We start from the raw sequence: 21,317 nt of genomic DNA, 5'->3' as shown, positions 1-21,317 counted from the left end.
CAAGCAGTTAATTGGATTGTTTATCTCTCTTTTTGCTTTGTTTGGACAGTCAGAATTTATACTTATAGGCTAGGTGTGGTGGCTCATGCCTGTAATCCCAGCACTTTGGGAGGCCAAGGCAGGAGGATTGCTTAAGGCCAGGAGTTCAAGACCAGCCTGGGCAACATAGCAAGACCCTATTTCTACAAAAAGTTTTTTTTTAATTAGCCAGGTGTGGTGGCTTGTACCTGTAGTCCCAGCTACTTGGGAGGCTGAGGCAGGAGGATTGGGATTGCTTGAGCCAGGAGTTTGAGGCTGCAATGAGCTATGATTGCACTACTGTACTCCAGCCTGAGCCACAGAGTGAGACCTTGTTACACTTATGGCATGAGATTTTCCTTCCTATTGCTCCTTAGGATGGAATGGTGTTCATACTGTCAGAGTGAAAGATGGGCAAAGCCTTCTTAGATATGGTCCCATGTAAGTCCTAGAACCTGGAGCGCATTGTGGGTACAGAAGTTGGGCACAGAGTCAAGGACCCGGGGGGACATATTGCAAAATTAGAAAATGCTAGAACCTGTGATCCTAAGTGTTTCAAAGCAGAATATATGAGATAATATATGTGAAAATGGCTGGGGGGTGGAAAAGTGCTCTGCAGACACAGAGCATTATGTAGAGTCATACAGACCTAGACCAAGACTTAATTTGAACCCAGCTTTTGAGTCTTGTCTGCCACTTTCTAGGTGTATGAATCATTTTTTCTCATCTGTAAACAATGCAATAATAATGTCTATGTTATTGAGAGGATTAAATAATATGTAGAGAGCCCTAGATTAATGAGAGCCAGCAGTTGGCAGGTCTTCCTTGACTCCATCAATCTGCTGTTTTAATTCTCTCATGAAATTAACCAGTGATTTCCTGGGTCTGAATTTACTGTTTGTATTCACTAGTTCTAGGTAGTGAATTTAGTTGTGGACTGTCTATTCTAGACACTACTCAGAATTCAGCATGCATGAGGACAAGGTCTCTCACTGCATATTTAATCAGTTATTGTCTCACAGAAGAAGCAATTGATGCATCATTCACAATGTTTTTAAACCTATATAAAGAGTCATTGATTCAGAACATTTGCTCTGCATGTGAAAATATATGTTTGGTGGTTTCCATGGAGACCACCCTGCTGGCTGTTCTGTGATCACTCACTAGCCTTAATTATACACTGGAATTGCCAGGGATCCTTCAAAGCTGTCTCCATAACAACGCCTCCTTGTGGGTAACATGACCGCCATCCCTGACCATGTCTCCCATATAGGAGTTTCCCTTAAGAGTTGAAAAGAGTCAGCTGGTTAATTTCAGCCTCTTTTTGATGTATCCTTATGAAGATCTCTTAGCTGCCTAGGAATTTTTCTGAGTTTCAACTTCCTATCTCTCCTGCTATTTTTCCAGGTTTCAGGAGCTTGGGTGAAAGTAATAGCAAGGCCTAATGTCTTTCTTTCTTCAGTGACATGTTGACATTGACATGTGTCTTGATCTATTGCCACAATATTGAACTAAGAAGGAGTCTTGGTTATGTCACTTTACTAGACAAAATTAAACCTGTTTGAAATATACGATGAACTCATGAAAGTGTTATCAACAGATGTTATTAAGATTCCATGTTCAGAATTTTAGAATATCTCCAAGACCATTGGTAAAACTCTCGATGTTTCTGGTGGAATTAAGAGAAAAAGATGAATTTTTTTTTAACGTGGAATAATCACACAGATTTCATGACTTCTAAATAATGTAATTTTTTTTTTTTTTTGAGACGGAGTCTTGCTCTGTCGCCCAGACTGGAGTGCAGTGGCATGATCTCAGCTCACTGCAAGTTCCGCCTCCTGGGTTCACACCATTTTCCTGCCTCAGCCTCCCAGGTAGCTGGGACTACAGGTGCCCGCCACCATGCCCAGCTAATTTTTTTTGTATTTTTAGTAGAGAGGGGGTTTCACCATGTTAGCCAGGATGGTCTCAATCTCCTGACCTTGTGATCCGCCTGCCTCGGCCTCCCAAAGTGCTGGGATTACAGGCGTGAGCCACCGCGCCCGGCCTAAATAATGTAATTTTTTACCCTTCACTAATTTTTTGAGATACATTTGTAGGGAAGTTTCAAGGCTTAACATTGACTCATACCTTGAACTTCTGAGGAGGTGACAAGTAAACAAATCTCTCATAGTCTGTAATCATAGTTCTTATAGGTTCAATTTCTGGTACACACACACACACACACACACACACACTACAGGGGAAATCATAGAAGTATGTTTACAAAGCCCATCACACTTTGCTCTCACTAGGTCAAGTCTATGCTGAACAGAGTTGGTTCTCTTCATTTTTCTACTTTGTATTCTATTACTGCTGTTATTTCTTTCTTTCTAGTCATCCTTGCATTATCATCCTGATTCCCACTATCTCTTGGGTGGGGAGCCTGTTACTGTCTTTCTCCACCACCTGGATGGTGAACGGTAATCACAGAAGAGGGGGCTCCTCTCCCCAGTTCACTATTTGAGGTTCTTCCCATCTTAGCTGCTGAGGACACCTCACTCCTCCTTCCCATCACGTTTCGAAGCTCATTTCAGATATAACTTTCTTATAGCAGTTTAGCATTCCTTTTCTTCCTTCAGTTGTTATTCAACACCTTCATATGTTCTGGAAGGGTCTGATGAAAATACATTGTTAAACCACATGAAGCTGTACTGTAATGTAACTTTTATATTGAAAGACCATGCTTAAAAAATCTAATTATGGCTGTTCCCTAATTAAATCATTTTTCTTTTTCACTGTCTCAGCGGCTATGGCAATAAGAATAATTTTTCATGGAAAATTAAAACCTAGAGGCAGCAGCATAATTTCCTTTGCAGACTCTCGCTCGGCAATAATAACAGCATGTCTGATGTCTTTCCATGACATCACTGATGAGGCGACAGGAACATGAAGTGGCAAGTTTGGGAGCTGCCATTCGCATGGAAACAGCCAGCCAAGAAGTTAGTTATCTGGGAGTTGTTTGTTTATGAACAAGGTTTTCCTGCAGGGAACGTGGGAGGGGAAATACAGTTTTGGATTCAGGAAAAATTTTTAAATTCCATTTCCTATTGTCAAAATAATTCATAGAGAAATGAGTGCTATGAGTGGACATTTTGCTGTTTTGAGTAAGGTTCTTGTTTTTTTTTTTAATTTCCAGTTATGTTGTCTTCATTTTTTCCGAGCTATTTTTAATGCCTTTGATCATCACAATCTTCTGTGTTGCAAAAATAGGATAACAATTCTGTTTCACAACTTCTGACTTGAATGAATTCGCTCATTTATCATTTGTTCATTTACTGGGGAGATGTCCTTACTTTCTGTAAACTTCCTGACTCTAAGGTTTTTATGGGTGCCGTTAGTGTCCCAGATAATTTTTTAAAAAATGAAAGTCGTTTTTGCAACATAAAGGCCAGTTAATTGGGAATATTTGCACGGCCTCCTCTAGGGGATGAATTGATGTGTGCTTGGTTTATTGTAGTATGGTGTCCAATAAATGAGTGTGGGGTGAGTACTCACTCAAAAACTGATTTTATTCTGCACACCTTTGCACTCCTGTCAGAAACAGAGAAAGGTGGAATTCTGCATATATCTCGTAAAGTAACTTCATTGCCCCATTTTCCTGTGATATACCCATTCCTTCCTTTCTTTGTGCCATTTATTCTATAGGGGTTCGGTTTTCTTTTTAAAGACCCTCTGTGTGTATCCCTAAAACTAAGTTCCCTAAGGTGTGGCTGAACATAGGGTAGTTAGCAAAGAGCACAGTAAGTTCTGCTGGTGCCCCAACCAGAGGGCGGACAATGGCCAGGACCTATGGCCTGTGTCAGCAGAGTGACTGCCATAGTCAAAGCAGACCTAGATGAAGCAGCTCTTGGGAAATTTGAAGGAGTAGACTTTTTTATGGGAAAGCTAAGTTTGGATGCATCAATGATAGAAAGGCATGACATGTAAATTTGGAAGAATTTTAGCAGATATTTACTTGGTACAATTTTGTGAAAATAACTGTCTGTTACATTGTGCCTTAGAGACATCTTGGTGGCCTGGTACCCGGATGCCTCCTCAGACTTGTTTTCCTGTTCTATCCCCAAAAGTGGAATTTGTATAAAGTGTAGTTATTCACCCATTTTTTTCCTGCTTAAAATTGCTCTCCTCTCTTACAAAAAGTAGTCCAAATTTGCTTTTTCTCCTTCTTGCTTGCTTGCTTTCTTTTTTTTTTTGAGACAGAGTCTCGCTCTGTCGCTCAGGCTGGAGTGCAGTGGCGCGATCTCAGCTCACTGCAATCTCTGCCTCCCAGTTCAAGCAATTCTCCTGCCTCTGCCTGCTGAGTAGCTGGGACTACAGGCCCGTGCCACCAAGCCCAGTTAATTTTTGTATTTTTTTTAGTAGAGATGGGGTTTTACCATGTTGGCCAGGCTGGTCTCGAACCCGTCCGACCTCAAGTGATCCGCCTGCCTGGGCCCCACAAAATGCTGGAATTACAGTCATGAGCCACCGTGCCCGGCCGGCCCCTTTTCCCCTTCTTCACTCTATGGTGGCACTTTGCGCTAACCTGGTCGTTCTTTAGATAAAGATGTTTGGTGTTGTTTTGTTTATGTATAAGTAGACTGTGTCTGATTTTAAGGCCAGACAGTGAAGTACGAGCAAATTGTGCTTGTTTATAGGACTCCAAAATAGCCAGTTAGTCAAGTATGCAACAAGAAAAGTTTTTAAGTCAACAGCTAATTGCTTTGTATCACATAAATACAACTAGCCATGAGACTGAATTTGTAATTTTGGTTGTTTCTGTGCAGTTTGACAGGAGAAGGGTTGAAGGGGAGGATTGTGTGGGGAACAGGGTCTCCCTGGCCACATTTCCATGTCAGTCTTCTTGTGTGAGCTCTGGGGTGGTGTGGGGTGGGGATTGCTGCACAAGGAGCAGGCCCAGGGTTGCATCTGTGTCCAAGAAGAATTCTGTCTTATTTCTTTCCTGCCTCACCCTCAGGCCATTATTCCCTACTTAGGGCTTTATGTGTTTTCCGCACAATTTTCTGGCATGGTTATGGTTGGCCTTGAATATAGTAGGTGATTAGTCAATATTTGATATATCAAATGCCCACCACTTTCCCTTTTCTCCCCTTCAGGAGAAGAAAAGTAAAGGAAAACAGAAAAATAATAATAATCAGGTAACTATACTTCCCAGCAATCCACCTGCTCTATCAGCCTGTGAGCCCAAGGAAGGCAGGGCACATCCTACTCAGGGTTACATCCCCAGCACCTAGCAGAGCACCCAGAGGCATAATTTGAATTGCAAAAGAGTTGGTGATTTTTACAGTACTTCCAAAATTTGTAGTCCAAATGGAATTAGGAGCCATTATTTTCAAGTCTCAGGTTAGTCCTTTGTACGATGACTACCCCTCCACCTCCAGAAAAGAACAAAATAATTTACTTTTTCAATGTTAGATTTATCTTCTTGGAATTTGAAGTCTTCAGTTTCAGTGATGCAGTCAGCAGTTGCTACCTGTGCCTTGCCTTCTGCCCTGAAAGGGAGGGTTTGTTATCTGTGAAAACGTATTTTTTCCTTCAGGTGGGAGTAGGGGTGTTCTGGTAGCTTCAGGCCTTGCATTCCCGCCTTGGGAATTTCACTGGGAGCAGTGTTGATCTTATTATTCCAAATTGCCAAACATTTGCTGCCATTTGGCTGTGCCATTCAGAGCACTTTGCTTCCTTCATGCACTCTTGAAATGTTAGGTTAAGGGAGTACAACACTTTGGCAGTTATTAAATTTCGTCTTTCTTTAGAGTATGCTATATATATTCTGTGCTTCATAGATAGCTAGAACACTCCATAAATCAGAATAGGAGTTCACTTTTAAGCACTGAGAGAGTGCCTTATTTTATCCCCAACAGTTAACCAGCCCAGTTTTGAGCCCATAGGCAGACAGTAGATGCATCTTTGATTGGGTTATTGAGCTATTGCTGTGTGAACCACCCAGATCTGATCAGTCCTAATTATTTGAAGGCTGTATCTTCTATGAAGTCAGCCATGTTTATTATTATTTTCCTCAGGTTATAGTTGGGCTTTTTTAAGAATGTTTACTCTAAGAATTACATAATATATAACCTGGTTTCAATACTTATGCTTTTTATGAAGGTTTTCTTTTCCCTGAAATTTTTTTTTCATATTGCTTTGTGCAAAGATGTTATGTCAGCAAATGTATTCAGCAGGTGTATAGAGTGTCCTATCTTATAACCGGCTGTGGAGATGAGACTATAGAGAGTAGTGACAAGCAGCCCAGCATTTCGGAGACAGAAAGACCTGGGTAAGAATCTCATTCTCTGGCAATATGACCTTGGAAAAATCAAATAACTTATTTATGTGTCAGTTTGCTTATATGTCAAATAAGAATAATTGCATACACTTCACAGAAATGTTGCAAGAATTATTTAAAATAATGTATGTTAAGCAGTTACTGTTAGCTTTTTTTTTTTTAATCAATTTTTGAAGTATCTCAGCGGACCTGATACATCATTTTATCTAACATTTTGGAAGTGCTACACTGGTGTTTAAAGAAAAGGGAAAAAAAAGTCAGTCCTGAAGATTGTTAGATGAGTCCTCTGTTGTTAGGTGAAATTTCAGCTTTCAGTTTATATTTGGTTGGTAGTAAGAGAATGGGGAATTGAGAAAATGTGGTATTAACTCTGATGTGGAATCACACACCCAAAAGAATGGTTACAGTGAAAAAAATTGACAATACCAAATGTTGGTGAGGATTGTAGAATGATATTTATGCTTTAGAAGTACCAAAGCTAAACAACATCTACATAATACAACATCTACGTATTCCCCCTCCTCAGTATTTACCCAAGAGAAACAAAGACATATGTTCACAAGTTATGTTCAGTGTTGTGGAATTAGATGGTGGTGGTAGCTGCATAACTGTGAGTATACTAAAAGCTATTGAATTGTACTCTTCCACAGGGTGAATTTTATGGTGTGTGCATTATATCTCAGTAAGCCTGTTATTTTTTTAAAAAAAATACATGTTCAAGGCCAAGTGTGGTGGCTCACGCCTGTAATCCCAGGGCTTTGGAAGACCAGGGTGAGAGGATCGCTTGAGGCCAGGAGTTTGAGACTAGCCTAGGCAACATAGTGAAACCTCATTTCTACAAAAAAAAAAAATTCTTTTTAAATTAGCCAGGTGTAAAGGTGTGTGCCTGTGCTCCTAGCTCTTTGAGAGGCTGAAGTGGGAGGATTGCTTGAGCCCAGGAGTTCAAGACTGCCGTGAGTTATGATCACTCCACCACACTCTACCCTGGGCAACAGAGCAAGACTCTATCTCAAAAAAAAAAAAAAAAAAAAGACATGTTCAAGAAAATCCATGGCAGCTTTATTCATAATAGCACCTAACTAGATGAAATAGTCCATAAATTTCATCTGTCCATACAATGGAATCCTCACTGCAGTAGGAAAGGGCACATGGCCACAGAGGGGATTCGGGATGAGTGAATGGATTGGGAGGAGTCTGCGGAGCCTGGTGCAATGCTGGGAAGGGCCGGTGTCTCTGTCCAGGTGGCAGCTGTGTGGGTGCTAATGGGTATAAATGCTCAGCAAGCCATGTACTTGAGATTCCTGTGCCTCCTACACTACACGGTATTTATGTTATACTTCAGTTTTAAAAATCGGATGTGGATGCTGTAATGGTGCGGCGCTCAGAAAGCAGAGCCCAACGTGCTGAACCTGCCCTCCTGTTTGTTGGCCACTGGGAGGAAAAACAGGCCCGGCAGCTTCCCGAGCAGAGCCCTGGGGCCTCTTGCTTTGTGGTGTCTCCTGTACTACAGGTGGTGGCGGGGGGCAGGTTTCACTTGCTGGGAAAAGGACACCTTGCTGCTGGGGCCTTGTTATTCTGGGCGGTGGCCACCGTTTCTCCTGAAAGTCCTGGTTGGAGAGGGTTTCTAACAGATCTTCAGCTCGGTGCCAAGGTAAAGAAGGTGAGCTCAGACTTCCCGGTAGCATTGCAGAAGCGTTTCTTCCTTTGGTCCTGCCCCACACGGGCGCGCTTTTCCTTCAGGGGCTGTGACTAATTATGGAAAACGGCACACCTGCCACTCTCTCAGACCATGAGGTTTAACTGAGTGAACACCGCTGTTCCGGGGCTCTGCCTCTCGCTGAACGCTCCTGCTGGGCTGGGGCCTCCCGAGTAGCTGGAAGTACAGGTATGAGCCACCACGCCTGGCTAATTTTTCAATTTTTTTGTAGAGATGGGGTCTCGCTAGTTGCCCAGGCTGCCCGTGGGCCTTTTCTGAAAGGCTTCACGTTGGTGGCTCTCCTCTCGTGTGGGTGCTGCTTGAGCGTCTGACTGTGATGGTGGTAAGCAGTCTCCCAGGGAAGGGGTGCTTGTGTCTGGACCCCCCGTGCTTTGCTGCTGTTGCATTTTTCTTTACATGTAACTGTACAATGTAGAAAACACCTCCAGGAAACTGAGAGGCTGGTGGAGACTAATGGAGAACAGATGAACGTAAGGGAAGTAGGTTGTCACGGGAGCCAGGAACTCACTCTGCAGCTCCGCAGAGCGAGCCGGCTGTCAGGGTGCACCTTAGGGACACCTGCAGCCCAACCATCCGGAGAGCTGAATGCCAGGCGTCCCCAGACATGAGCAGGCATGGGCTGGGGTGTGGAAATGCAAATGGCGTGGTTTCCTGGTCAGAGTTTGAATTTTCCTGTAGGTATTTAATGTAGGGGGTATTCACCATTATTGAAGCAAATAACTTTCCCCTTAACTTGTGACTTTAATTTTGACCCATGACATCTCTAGAAAAAAAACCTTAGAAACCATTTAGTCCACTATCTTCATTTAAAAAGTTCAAAAGGCTAATTATAGAACATGTAGAAAGTAAATGAAAAAAAAGCTTATGGGACTCTACCATAATAGACATTTTAGAGTATATTCTTTGGGAAATTTTTTTTATACACACATTCCTGAGGTTTTCTGTTTTTACAGAAATGGGATTGTTCTTCACCTGTTGGGTTTCTTTTTTTGTTCTTTTTTTTTATACTTTAGGTTCTAGGGTACATGTGCGCAACATGCAAATCTGATGCATAGGTATACACCTGCCATGTTGGTTTGCTGCACCCATCAACTCATCATTTACATTAGGTATTTCTCCTAATGCTATCCTTCCCCCAGCCTCCCATCCCCGACAGGCCCCGTTGTGTGGTGTTCCCCACCCTGTGTCCAAGTGATCTCATTGTTCAGTTCCCACCTGAGAGAAAACATGTTGTGTTTGGTTTTCTATCCTTGTGATAGCTCAGATTGATGGTTTCCAGCTTCATCCATGTCGTGCAAAGGACATTAACTCATCCTTTTTATGGCTGCATAGTATTCCATGGTATATATGTGCCACAGTTTCTTAATCCAGTCTGTCATTGATGGACATTGGGGTTAGTTCCAAGTCTTTGCTATTGTGAATAGTGCTGCAATAAACATACATGTGCATGTGTCTTTATAGTACCATGATTTATAATCCTTTGGGTATATACCCAGTAATAGGATTGCTGGGTCAAATGGTAATTCTAATTCTAGATCCTTGAGGAATCGCCACACTGTCTTCCACAATGGTTGAACTAATTTACACTCCCACCAACAGTGTAAAAGCGTTCCTATTTCTCCACATCCTCTCCAGCATCTGTTGTTTCCCGACTTTTTAATGATTGCCATTCTAACTGGCATGAGATGGTATCTCATTGTAGTTTTGATTTGCATTTCTCTGATGACCAGTGATGATGAGCATTTTTTCATGTGTCTGTTGGCTGCATAGATGTCTTCTTTTGAGAAGTGTCTGTTACATCCTTTGCCCACTTATTGATGGGGTGGTTTGTTTTTTTCTTGTAAATTTGTTTGAGTTCTTTGTAGACTCTGGATATTAGCCCTTTGTCAGAAGGATAGATTGCAAAAATTTTCTCCCATTCTGTAGGTTGCCTGTTCACTCTGATGGTATTTTCTTTTGCCATACAGAAGCTCTTTAGTTTAATTAGATCCCATTTGTCAATTTTGGCTTTTGCTGCCATTGCTTGTGGTGTTTTAGTCATGAAGTCCTTGCCCATGCCTATGTCCTGAATGGTATTGCCTAGGTTTTCTTCTAGGGTTTTTATGGTTTTAGGTCTAACATTTAAGTCTTTAGTCCATCTTGAATTAATTTTTGTATAAGGTGTAAGGAAGGGATCCAGTTTCAGCTTTCTACATATGGCTAGCCAGTTTTCCCAGCACCATTTATTAAATAGGGAATCTTTTCCCTGTTTCTTGTTTTTGACAGGTTTGTCAAAGATCAGATGGTTGTAGATGTGTGGTGTTATTTATGAGGCCTCTGTCCTGTTCTATTGGTCTATATCTCTGTTTTGGTACCAGTACTGTGCTGTTTTGATTACTGTAGCCTTGTAGTATAGTTTGAAGTCAGGTAGCGTGATGCCTCCAGCTTTGTTCTTTTGGCTTAGGATTGTCTTGGCAATGCGGGCTCTTTTTTGATTCCATATGAACTTTAAAGTAGTTTTTTTCCAATTCTGTGAAGAAAGTCATTGGTAGCTTGATGGGGATGGCATTGAATCTATAAATTACCTTGGGCAGTATGGCCATTTTCACGATATTGATTCTTCCTATCCATGAGCATGGAATATTCTTCCATTTGTTTGTGTCCTCTTTTATTTTGTTGAGCAGTGGTATGTAGTTCTCCTTGAGGAGGTCCTTTACATCCCTTGTGAGTTGGATTCCTAGGTATTTTATTCTCTTTGTAGCAATTGTGAATGGGACTTCACTCATGATTTGGCTCTCTGTTTATCTATTATTGGTGTATAGGAATGCTTATGATTTTTGCACATTGATTTTGTATCCTGAGACTTTCCGGAAGTTGCTTATCAGCTTAAGGAGATTTTGAGCTGAGACAATGGGGTTTTCTAAATATACAACCATGTCATCTGCAAATAGAGACAATTTGACTTCCTCTTTTCCTAATTGAATACCCTTTATTTCTTTCTCCTGCCTGATTGCCCTGGCCAGAACTTCCAACACTATGTTGAACAGGAGTGGTGAGAGAGGGCATCCCTGTCTTGTGCCAGTTTTCAAAGGGAATGCTTCCAGTTTTTGCCCATTCAGTATGATATTGGCTGTAGGTTTGTCATAAATAGCTCTTACTATTTTGAGATACGTCCCATCAATACCTAATTTATTGAGAGTTTTTAGCATGAAGCGTTGTTGAATTTTGTCAAAGGCCTTTTCTGCATCTATTGAGATAATCATGTGGTTTTTGTTGTTAGTTCTGTTCATGTGATGGATTACTTTATTGATTTGCGTATGTTGAATCAGCCTTGCATCCCAGGGATGAAGCCGACTTGATCATGGCGGATAAGCTTTTTGATGTGCTGCTGGATTCGGTTTGCCAGTATTTTATTGAGGATTTTTGCATTGATGTTCATCAGGGATATTGGTCTAAAATTCTCTTTTTTTGTTGTGTCTCTGCCAAGCTTTGGTATCAGGATGATGCTGCCCTCATAAAATGAGTTTTAGAGGATTCCCTATTTTTTTTTCTATTGATTGGAATAGTTTCAGAAGGAATGGTACCAGCTCCTCTTTGTACCTCTGGTAGAATTTGGCTGTGAATCCGTCTGGTCCTGGACTCTTTTTGGTTGGTAGGCTATTAATTATTGCCTCAATTTCAGAGCCTGTTATTGGTCTATTCAGAGATTCAACTTCTTCCTGGTTTAGTCTTGGGAGGGTGTATGTGTCCAGGAATTTATCCATTTCTTCTAGATTTTCTAGTTTATTTGCGTAGAGGTGTTTATAGTATTCTCTGGTGGTAGTTTGTATTTCTGTGGGATCAGTGGTGATATCCCCTTTATCATTTTTTATTGCATCTATTTGATTCTTCTCTCTTTTCTTCTTTATTAATCTTGCTAGTGGTCTATCAGTTTTGTTGATCTTTTCAAAAAACCAGCTCCTGGATTCATTGATTTTTTTGAAGGGTTTTTTGTGTCTCTATCTCCTTCAGTTCTGCTCTGATCTTAGTTATTTCTTGCCTTCTGCTAGTTTTTGAATTTGTTTGTTCTTGCTTTTCCAGTTCTTTTAATTATGATGTTAGGGTGTTGATTTTAGATCTTTCCTGCTTTCTCTTGTGGGCATTTAGTGCTATAAATTTCCCTCTACATACTGCTTTAAATGTGTCCCAGAGATTCTGGTACATTGTGTCTTTGTTCTTATTGGTTTCAAAGCACATCTTTATTTCTGCCTTCATTTCATTATTTACCCAGTAGTCATTCAGGAGCAAGTTGTTCAGTTTCCAGTTGTGCGGTTTTGAGTGAGTTTCTTAATCCTGAGTTCTAATTTGATTGCACTGTGGTCTGAGAGACAGTTTGTTGTGATTTCTGTTCTTTTACATTTGCTGAGGAGTGCTTTACTTCCAATTATGTGATCAATTTTAGAATACGTGCAATGTGGTGCTGAGAAGAATGTGTATTCTGTTGATTTGGGGTGGAGAGTTCTGTAGATGTCTATTAGGTCTGCTTGTGGCAGAGCTGAGTTCAAGTCCTGGATATCCTTGTTAACCTTCTGTCTTGTTGATCTGTTTAATATTGACAGTGGGGTGTTAAAATCTCCCATTATTATTGTGTGGGAGTCTAAGTCTCTTTGTAGGTCTCTAAGGACTTGCTTTATGAATATGGGTGCTCCTGTATTGGGTGCATATATATTTAGGATAGTTAGCTCTTCTTGTTGAATTGATCCCTTTACCATTATGTAATGGACTTCTTTGTCTCTTTTGAACTTTGTTGGTTTAAAGTCTGTTTTGTCAGAGACTAGGATTGCAACCTGTGCTTTTTTTTCTTTCCATTTGCTTGGTAGATCTTCCTGCATCCCTTTATTTTGAGCCTATGTGCGTCTTTGCACGTGAGATGGGTCTCCTGAATACAGCACACTGATGGGTCTTGACTCTTTATCCAATTTGCCAGTCTGTGTCTTTTAATTGGGGCATTTAACCCATTTACATTTAAGGTTATTATTGTTATGTGTGAATTTGATCCTGCTATCACACAGAGCAGGGACTAGATGCTTTGTCCTGAGCACATGCTCAGTCAGTGACCACCAGAAACATGGCAGGGCCACCAGGCATATTGCTGGTCCCCCAGCATTTTGGAGATGGCTGCACAATCAGCAAATCACATTTTGCTGTAGAGATGAATAAACCGAGTTACTAAGGGGTGCTGCAAGGGGATTCTGAAATGCATACTCCTTGCCTTCAGAAAATGTGTGTGTGCCTTGTCCGCAGGCTTTAAGAGATCTTTATGAAAAGTAGCCACTGATGGGCATTGTTTTCTTCTTGATAGAGAAGGACACTTGATGGGCTCCTGGCTGTACCCACACGGGGTGGGGGGGCCCTTGCCAGCAGCTGACGTTCCTTTTGTGGGACCAGGGAAAGGCCACAATTCATATTTCTATATATTTAGCTTTCATGAAGAGGGGTACTTTATACATTGGAGGGGACAAGATAACACATTTCTTTACTCTGGGTCTTTACATTGGACCTTGATGTGGCAGCTGACAGATTTATTAAATTAAAGGCTCTCTGCTTTCTTTGGAACATATGCTTGAATGTCTGTAACAACATTCTCATGTTAAACTTAGAAGATAGATTAACATTGAATGGCTTCTCCCAAGCATTGGTTTGCCAGAATTTTAGGGACACTCAGTGTGCAACTGATCACGCACCTTCTTTGCTTTGGCTGCCAGGAATCATGCGGCCACACTCAAGCCCCTCCTGTGCACAGCAGCCACCCTGGTGTGGTTTTTGTCCTGTCCTCCCTCTGCCTTTCTCTCCTTGGTTTCCCCTCTCCTTCATGTTTCTTACCTACTTCTGATTGATATTTTGTGTCTGAATTGATCTACCTTTTTAAGCTTCTTGAAAATTCTCATTAGGACAAGTCCGGAAATGAATAAAATCCCCTACTCCTTCAAAGACAGATAATAAGGGAAAGAACAGAATTTAGTCCCTGAGAAATACTTTCTAGATGGTTCCTTTATTTTATAGAGAAACCTGAAATCCAGAGATGGGGATGGGTCTGCCTGAGGTTATTCAGCCAGTTTGTGACCCAGCCAGGGAGCACCCAGGACTCTCCCTGCTGGCTCACTGCTGTCTCACAGACACACACGGGGCTCGGAGACGCTCTCTTGGCATCCATACAGAGGATTGCCCCTGGTCTGCTGATAAAACTGCATGCCTAATCTTCCTGGGACCAGCTGCCCCTCTTCTTTAAATGAATAGGATTCTCCATGGGACTTTTAAAATATGTTGCTAGGAAAAAGGGATTTTAAACTATGATTTTTTCACTCTCTTCGGTTTTCCTTTGGCTTTAGCAGTGGCCTTTAACCACAGCACACTTGGCATTACAGTTTACACTCAGTGGCGTAGACTGTGCTGGGCTCGTTCATGCTGTTCCCCCTCCGTAGACTGCCCTTCCCACTCTTCCTCCCCTGGTAATTCCTGAGTGCCCTTTAGGCTTAGCACAGGACTCAGCCCTAAGTGGGGTTTGTTCCCATAACATTCAGAGTCTGCCCATGTCTTAGCACTTACCCTATGATAATATTGACATTCTTTGCTTTAGCTAACCCAGCGTGGGGTGTTGCGAGGGCAGATCTCGCCTTTCATGTTGCCTCTCTAATGCCCTTTGTGGTGCTCAGTGAACGTAATTTGGCCTCAACTTCATCCCAGCAAAAACCCAAAGCCCTTTTCCTTTTTCACTTCTAATTCAATGAAAGCGTCTTTTGAAACATTCAGCCTTTTTAAACAAACTTTCATTTTTTAAACTCTCCAAAAGAGCAAGGGAAGGTGTCTTAGCTCGATTCCCATGACAAAATATCACAGACTGGGTGGCTTACACAATAGAAATTTACTTTCTCACAGTTCTAGAGGCTGCAATGTCCAAGAGTAAGCCAAGAGCAAGGTGCCAGCAGGGTGGGTGTCGTGTGAGAGCTCCCTCCTGGGGTTTCAGATGGCTGCCTTCTCCCTGTGCACTCAAATGAACTCTTCTTTGTGCACCTGGGGCAGCTGGGAGGAGAGCAAACTCTGGTCTCTTTTTATTTATTTATTTATTTTCTGGTTTCTTCTTTTTTTTTTTTTCTTTTGAGACAGAGTCTCACTTCCTCGCCCAGGGTGGAGTGCGGTGGTGTGATCTCGGTTCACTGCAACCTCCGCCTCCTGGGTTCAAGTGATTCTCCTGCCTCAGCCTCCCAAGTAGCTGGGACTACAACTACAGGCTGCCCAACCATGCCTGGCTAATTTTTGTAGTTTAATAAAGATGGTGATTCACTATGTTGGCCAGGCTGGTCTTGAACTCCTGACCTCAGGTGATCCACCCGCCTCGGCCTCCCAAAGTACTGGGATTACAGTCGTGAGCCAACACACCCGGCCTCTGGTCTCTTTTAATAAGGGCACGAATCTCATGGTGAGGGCTCCACATTCATGACCTCATCTAAACTAAATCATCTCCCAAAGGCCCCATCTCCAAATACTATCACACTGGGGGTTGGGCTTCAACTTGTGAATTATGGACAATTCAGTCCATGGCAAATAGGTTGCGTGGCAAGAGCTGGAAGGTCTTCATGGTTTATGTAAATGTATTGTGCAAGTTTTGTATGTTCCTAAGAAGTTCTCACTCTCTGGTCATGTAAAACTGAGTGTGACCAGACTTGGAGCCAGGGTCCAGTCCTTGATGTCACGTAGAGGGCTCACTTCTTCCAGCCAATGCTCTTCAGGAAGTGTTGAGCTAAATAAAGGAAGGAGGCAGGTGAAAAGCAGGCAACAGGGTTTTACCTAATGGGCAACCACATCTCCTACCTTTGAATGTTATAAGGAAGTGTCGGGGTCTGGGGTCTGGATATTTCTCTTTTGGCAGATCTATTCTTTCACCTCCATTACTGCTAAATGTAACAGTAGTGTGAATTGAAGTTATTGTTATACCAAAAGTTGATGAACAAATCCTCACAGCCTTGGAGTAAGCATAATTATGGTGCTTTTATTGAACGCTCCTTTGAGCTTAAATTCATGTAATTTCTAAAAATAGTCTGCAGAGATTAGATCTGTGCTTTGAGTAAATCAAAACAACTTAGAAAATAAAAACATCTTAACCACATGCCCTTCCTTTCCACAAGCACAGAGTTCTGCTTAACTTGGGAGACTAGTAGAACTTTCTAGCTAGCAGGACAAAAGTTTAAAAAATAACTGGCACAAATCTATCATTCTAAAAGTATGTTGGACAGTAGAAGAGTACATTTACTAAGTTAAATGAAACCAAGAAGTGAAAAGTACTAGAATGGGGAATTAAGAGGCTCCATACCAGGTTGTCACTGATTTGAGTTTGAAGGAAAATTAGGGAAGTCTCAAACTCTCCATTTGCCTTCTACAATTGGGTGTTCTAAGTATGTTGACATTACTTCGCCTTTTATTACTACTTGTAAAAGAAGAAATACTTGGTAAATTTATAGCCCATCTATTTAAAGAAAATTATAATAGCAAATAAAGAAACAACACAATCAAGTATTTTAGAACAAGCTGAAGTGGAATGCCCAAAGAGAAAGATGGAGGAAGAAGTCCTCCAAAGTTTCTGTGAAACTCCATTTCAGCAGACATGCTATGAATATGGCCTTCTCAGAAATGTAAGCACCAGAGAAAAGTTGGACATCCAACCCAGGGAAGAGCTAACACCTTTAGCATAACTGTGCCAGGAAGATTGCAAGTCCAAAAGGCCCACATGTTTCTGAAGTTATGCCTTTGTTAAAGAGTTCAGAGTTTTGGTACTTGAATTCTACTGCCCACTCCACCTCCTTTCTCGGGATATAAACCAAGAGAACATATGGACAAGGAATAGTAAGTGGGAAACAAAGTTGAGTTAAATCAAAAACACTCAACCCTGGCTGGAAGCAGAGACTTTCTGCTCCCCATGCAAGGCACGGCTTCCTTTCCATCCTCCTCCCTAAACCACAACACGTGGAGATGGAGAGTCAAGAGAATGTTATTGCATAGATTCAAGAGAAGAGACTGTGTGGAGTCTGGGTTCCTGCTTTTAAAAAATTAGAGTCTCACTGACTAGTGTAAAATAAATGTACAATCAGATAAACAATTATTCCCCTTGGAATGAACTTGGAAGATGTTGAAATGATACAAGTGAAGGCAGAAGAGTTCCCTCCTCCGTGGGCAGAGAAGGAATCGTGAGGAGAGGGAGCTGAATATTCCTCTCGCCTCCAGCCTGCCATAGTCATTACCATCAATTACATTTTATCTGAAACCCTGTATCCGAAGGGAAAAAGGCTGTGTGCCCTTGATAAAGTTCTGTTGCCCCAGGCTGGGGTATACAAAAACCTAGACTATGATTTTTTTAAGCTAATTAAAATTGTCATAATGAGTTAATAAAATTGTTGCTGAATGGGAAGTTGTTCAGAACAAATGAAAAGGCCAGCCAGGTGTGGTGGCTCACACCTGTAATCGCAGCACTTTGGGAGGCCATGGCTGATGGGTTGTTTGAGCCCAGGAGTTCAAGGCCAGCCTGGCCAACATGGTGAAACCCCATCTCTACAAAATATACAAAAATTAGCTGGGTGTGGTGGCACATGCCTGTAGTCCCAGCTACTCAGGAGGCTGAGACGGAGAATCAGTTGAGCCTGGGAGGTTAAGGCTGCAGTGAGCCGTGATTGCACACTATACTCCAGCCTGGGCGACAGAGCAAGACCCTGTCTCAAAAAAAAAAAGACTCCCCACTTTGTGTCATGATGGTATCCAGTGGCTCTAGGGAAATAGTGGTTGGCTGAGCCTGGTTTGAAAACCAGTAGCTTAGACCATCTCTCTGGGTCTGTTTTTGCACGTATAAAAAAAGGGAAACCTACTTCAGAGTAGACTGTTGTACCTTGTGACAGGCCAGTATCTCAACCGAAACAACTAGGGGAAAAATAAATAAATCGCAAAAATCATATTTTTAAGAAAACTGGAGAGCTGTTAAGCAAATTTCCAGAGAGGGAAGAACCCTTCCTAGCTATACTGAGTAACCAAGCTGTTTTCCTCATGGTAAGGGCAAGGAAGGAGGAGGATAGTTGTTGATTCTGGGTGTAGGCTAAAGATCTGGCTTGGTCCAAAAAGAGGAAATATTAGGGAAAGAGAAACTAGCAGAGTTTAGGCAGTCATATTGACCTGGTTTGATGGACTGGAAGCTAGAATAGCCCCAGAGGAAGTCTAGTTTTTCCCATGAGGCATTTGCTGAGTTCTGGGGTGGTGCAGGAGGCTGCAGGTGTGAAAACTCTCATAGCCTAGGGGTATTTAGGAGACTGCAGCAAAAGCACAAGTCTTCCCCTAAAGACAGTTGCCACGTGTTGAACCTGCATGGATGAGAGGCTAAAAAGCTAAGGTCAAAACCTCTGAAAGGCAGACCTTTTGTGGATGAGGAGGCAGAGATCCACCAAGCTCTTAAACACAAGTCTGGGAGGGCTTACAACTAAGGGACTAGATAAAATAGAGGTGGACTAAGTTACTAGAGCTGCAGGCTATTCCTGAGTCAGTAAATCCCTGGTTGGGTTGAGCTCATCACCCTGTTAGAGGGAAAGGGGAATGCTTCCTGGTAGAAGCTATCCTCTGGAGCTTCTACAGTTCTTCTATACCTATGTCCAGCATGTCATCAAAGACATAGGCATGTAAATAGGCAGGAAAGCATAACTGATAATCAAGTGGGGAAAGATAATAGGAACAGAACTACAGATGATGTTAGCAATAACTTAAAAATGACTGGATAATATGTTAAAGAAAATAAAGGAAAAGATGGATAAAATAATGAGACAATCCAGTGCAAGATTAGAATCTGTTTTTTTAAAAAATCAAATAGCTATTACAGAACTGAAAAATACATCTGAAATTAATAATTTATCTGATGGGTCTAAGAGCCCACTGGGCACGATGTAGCAGGATTGGTGAACTCAAGGTCAGTAGAAAATACTCAAAGTGAAACACAAAGAGGAAAAAAGGATGGAAAGAGCAGAACTGAGCATAAGAGACATGAGGGAAATGTTCATAAGATCTAATATTTGTGGAATTGTAGTTCTAGAAGAACAGGAGAGAGAGATTGGGCAGAAGCAATATTTGAAGGGATGCTTTTGCTGGCTGAGAATTTTGTAAAACTATTCACTGCCATCAACCCATGGATTCAAGAAGCTCCCAAACCCCACATATAAAATACAGATAAAACCATACTTAGGTATATCCTACTCAAACTATCAAATTTATCTTTGAAAACCAACAATAAATTTAAAAATCTTAAAATCAACTAGAGAAAAAGGACATTACCTTAAATCGAAGAAGCAACCACAAAGCCAGTGGCTGACTTTTTACCTGAAACAATGAGTACTCATAGACAATGAAATGACATCTTTATTTTATTTTATGCATCTGGCCCTTGGCTGCAGAAATGACATCTTTACAGTGCTGAAATAGGCAGGGCGCGGTGGCTCATGCCTGTAATCCCAGCACTTTGGAAGGCCGAGGCAGGTGGATCACCTGAGGTCAGGAGTTTGAGACCAGCCTGGCCAACATGGTGAAACCCCATCTCTACTAAAAATACAAAATATTAGCTGGGCATGGTGGCGCACGCCTGTAATCCCAGCTACTCAGGAGGCAGGAGAATTGCTTGAACCCAGGAGGCAGAGGTTGCAGTGAGCCAAGATCGCACCATTGGACTCCAGCCTGGGCAACGAGAGCGAAACTCCATCTCAACAACAACAAAAAATACAAACATTAGCTGGGCATGGTGGCAGCCACCTGTAATCCCAGCTACTCGGGAGGCTGAGGCAGGAGAATCATTTGAACCTAGGAGGCAGAGGTTGCAGTGAGCCAAGATCGTGCTATTGCACTCCAGCCTGGGCAACAGAGCGAGACTCCATCTCTAAATAAATAAATAAATAAATAAATAAATAAATAAATAAATAAAGCACTGAAATAAAGTAAGGGGAGAGATTAGGTCATCTCAACACTGCATTCCCTTCTGACTCTAAAGTAACTGGTTACCAACCTCTTCAAAATTACTATGAAGGTTGGGTGCGGTGCCTCACATCTGTAATCCCAGCACTCTGGGAGGCCGAGGTGGGTGGATCACTTGAGGTCAGGAGGTCGAGACCAGCCTGGCCAACATGATGAAACCCTGTCTCTACTAAAAATATAAAAATTAGCCAGGCATGGTGGCATGCACCTGTGATCCCAGCTACTTAGGAGGCTGAGGCAGGAGAATCACTTGAACCTAGGAGGCGGAGGTTGCAGTGAGCCAAGATCGTGCTACAGTACTCCAGCCTGGGTGACAGAGTGAGACTCCACCTCAAAAAAAAAATTACTATGAAGTATTTGAAGAATTACTAAATAAGGTTTCTAGACTCCTTTATTAAATATATTAATACATGCTTATTAGATCTAATCCTCAAATGTCTACTGAATCACATATCATATCACATAGATGGGTTTATATCACATAGCATGATATTGACTTTTTCCTAACATCACATTGGAAGCTCATTATAAATCAAGGGCAGTAGTACATAATTTGGATAAATCATGTTGTAAAGTAAAATATAATGTTTGAAGATAGAATAAATGAATGGCTCTATGAAAAGGAAACCATGATATATCTATATGATACGTGTATAGTGTTAATTAAGATGTTGGTTGAAATAGTGACTTAGAATTCCTTGCTATGTAAAATATGACCATGGCACATACCAAAAGCATAAGCAACAAAAGAAAAATTAGATAAAGTGAACTTCATCAAAATTAAAAACTGTTGAGCTGCAAAGGACACCACGAAGAAAGTGAAAAGACAACCCACAAACAAATCATATATCTGATATGGGACTCATATCTACAACATATAAAGAACTGTTATACCTCCATCATTTTTAAAAACCCCGATTTTTAAAGTGGACAAGGGATCTAGACAGTTCTCCAAAGAAGACGAACAACTGGCCACTAAGCCCAGGAAAAAGATGCTTAGTGTCATTAGTCATCAGGGAAATACAAACCAAAACCACAGTGAGGTATCCCTTCACACCCACTAGTATGGCTAGAATTAAAAAGAAAGATAACCAGGATGTGAAGAAATTGGAACCTTCTTTGTAGACATTTAAAATTTTCTATAATGAAACACATATGGTTGGGCACAGTGGCTCGCACCTGTAATCCCAGCACTTTGGGAGGCCAAGGAGGGTGGATCATTTGAGGTCAGGAGTTCGAGATCAGCCTGGCCAA

At 41.7% G+C, this 21,317-nt stretch overlaps 1 protein-coding gene across 23 annotated transcripts in view, besides 1 other annotated feature; it reads left to right on the top strand.

Annotated features, from left to right (window-relative positions):
- The window catches only part of SLC35D4 (solute carrier family 35 member D4), a 199,440-nt gene that overhangs the window by 98,704 nt on the left and 79,419 nt on the right, over nucleotides 1-21,317 (top strand). Inside the window, exon 14 of one of the 23 annotated variants that reach the window (XM_047437893.1) lies at nucleotides 5,157-5,198. The exons of the other annotated variants lie outside the window; for them this stretch is intronic. Within the exon in view, the coding sequence (XP_047293849.1) occupies nucleotides 5,157-5,198 (42 nt within the window). The remainder of the gene's footprint in view (nucleotides 1-5,156; nucleotides 5,199-21,317) is intronic. 23 annotated transcript variants of the gene reach the window in all.
- Nucleotides 8,318-8,986: an enhancer, noted in NCBI's record as "H3K27ac-H3K4me1 hESC enhancer chr18:20910236-20910904 (GRCh37/hg19 assembly coordinates)". NCBI's record gives its function as "activates a minimal SCP1, AML or CMV promoter by ChIP-STARR-seq in primed H9 embryonic stem cells {active_cell/tissue: H9 hESC(primed)}" and the evidence as "EXISTENCE:reporter gene assay evidence [ECO:0000049][PMID:30033119]".

Source organism: Homo sapiens, chromosome 18 (genome assembly GCF_000001405.40).
Source record: "Homo sapiens chromosome 18, GRCh38.p14 Primary Assembly".
NCBI classification, from domain to species: Eukaryota; Metazoa; Chordata; class Mammalia; order Primates; family Hominidae; genus Homo; species Homo sapiens.
Note: the sequence above shows the minus strand (reverse complement) of the source record. Positions and strands in the feature narration are given on the sequence as shown.